Genomic DNA, 2186 nt, shown 5'->3' on the forward strand with positions numbered 1-2186 from the left:
TCAGAGAAGCGCCTTCCTTCTTTAACAAAAGTCATACTATCATACGTGTTTATTTTTTCACTCAAGCATTGTGCGATAGGTTTTTCTCCCTGTCCTTCGGGAAGCTATTCAGGGTACACCCTACTGCACATCCTGACCTCAGGCTGTCCCTGTCAGCGGCCAGCAGAGTCCTCACTTGACTAGCTTTGGAAGAACCGAGTGGGGTCCGAGCTGTGGGCAATGAAAGTGGAGTTGAGTAAGAGCACCTGGCTGGGTTGAATGCCCATGACCAACCAGCCAAGGAGAACTGCTCACCCAGAAACTCAAGCAAGCCTCCACGTTTTGGTCCATTGACCCAGCTCAGGAAGAGGGAGAGTGGAAAGTGAAGGAGGAAAGGACAGCGGGACTGGTTCTGAAAGCTGAGAGAGCAGAAAGCTGAGGGCTCTCACTTCCCGTGTGTCCTTTTTTTCTGAGCCCAGAGGTCATGTGGTATAGCGGGAGAAACGCTAAGCCTGGGAACTCTCCCAGTTGTTCCTTCCTGACCTGTAAAACAGAGCTGCCCTTGCAGGGCTGATGTGAAAATTAACTACATTAAGTGAACTGTATAGAAACTATATGGTACTTTTCAAGACTACAAGGACTTATTAATCGAGATAGTTTATTGTTAGTAATGAAACAGTGGGGTTGGCTCAGTTTATCCCCGAACTTTTTGCTTGGAATCCTCTCAGGTATTTAACATTGAGATTTGGGTCTTTCATGACTAAGACAATTGGATTTTTCCAGCAGCTACTATTGATTCAATTAAAGAATTTCAATAGGCATAGTGATAACTTTCTAAAAAGTTATTGTTCATAAACAGCAGACTTAAATCGTCATTTTTTAAAGTAGGAAGAAAAAGATGATGCCTAGAATGGAAGATAAAGCAACAAGAAGTAGAGTTGACCCTTAAACAACACAGGGGCTAGGGGCACTGACCCCTTCCACACCATGGAAAATTCACGTGTAACTTTTGACTCCCCAGAACTGAACTTAACTACTAATGGCCTACAATTGACCAGAGGACTTACAGATAACATAAACAGTTGTTAAACACATATTTTGTATGTTACATGTATTAGACACTGTATTCTTATAATAAAGTTAGCTAGAGGTACTAAGCCTAGTACCCAATAGTTATTTTTTTCTGATTCTCTTCCTCCTGCCAACCTCCACCCTCAGATAGGACCTATGTCTGTTGTTTTTCCCCTCTTTGTGTCCACATGTTCTCATCATTTAGCTTCCACTTATGAGTGAGAACATGTGGTATTTGGTTTTCTGTTTCTGCGTTAGTTTGCTAAGGATAATGGCCTCTAGCTCCATCCATGTTGCTGCAAAGGACATGATCTCATTATTTTTTATGGCTGCATAGTATTCCATGGTGCATAGGTACCATATTTTCTTTATCCATTCTACCATTGATGGGCATTTAGGTTGATTCCATGTCTTTGCTGTGGTGACTAGTGCTGCAATGAACATATGCGTGCATGTGTCTTTATAATAGAATGATTTATATTCCTTTGAGTATATACCCAGTAATAGGATTGCTGGGTTGAATGGTAGTTCTGTTTTTAGCTCTTTGAGGAATCGCTGCACTGCTTTCCACAATGGTTGAACTAATTTATACTCTCACCAACAGTGTATAAGCATTCTCTTTTCTCTGCAGCCTTGCCAGCATCTGTGATTTTTTGACTTTTTAAAAATAGCCATTCTGACTGGTGTGAGATGGTATCTCATTGTGGTTTTGATTTGCATTTCTCTAATGATCAGTGATGTTGAGCTTTTTGTCATATGCTTGTCAGCCACATGTATGTCTTCTTTTGAGAAGTGCCTGTTTGTGTCCTTTGCCCACTTTTTAATGGGAACTTTTTCTTGTAAATTTGTTTAAGCTCCTTATAGAGCTGGATATTAGACCTTTGTCAGAGGAATAGTTTGCAAATACATTCTTCCATTCTGTAGGTTTTCTGCTTACTCTGTTGATAGTTTCTTTTGCTGTGCAGAAACTCCTTAGCTTAATTAGGTCCCATTTGTCAATTTTTGCTTTTGTTGCAATTGGTTTTGGCATGTTTATTATGAAATCTTTGCCAGTTTCTGTGTCCAGAATGGTATTGCCTAGGTTGTCTTCTAGGGTTTTGATAGTTTTAGGTTTTACATTTAAGTCTTTAATCAAT

General features: G+C 40.3%; 1 annotated feature.

Annotated features, from left to right (window-relative positions):
* Window positions 230–430: a silencer, noted in NCBI's record as "peak2407 fragment used in MPRA reporter construct". NCBI's record gives its function as "represses an SCP1 promoter by STARR-seq MPRAs in K562 erythroleukemia cells {active_cell/tissue: K562}" and the evidence as "EXISTENCE:reporter gene assay evidence [ECO:0000049][PMID:32103011]".

This window comes from Homo sapiens, chromosome 15 (genome assembly GCF_000001405.40).
Source record: "Homo sapiens chromosome 15, GRCh38.p14 Primary Assembly".
NCBI classification, from domain to species: Eukaryota; Metazoa; Chordata; class Mammalia; order Primates; family Hominidae; genus Homo; species Homo sapiens.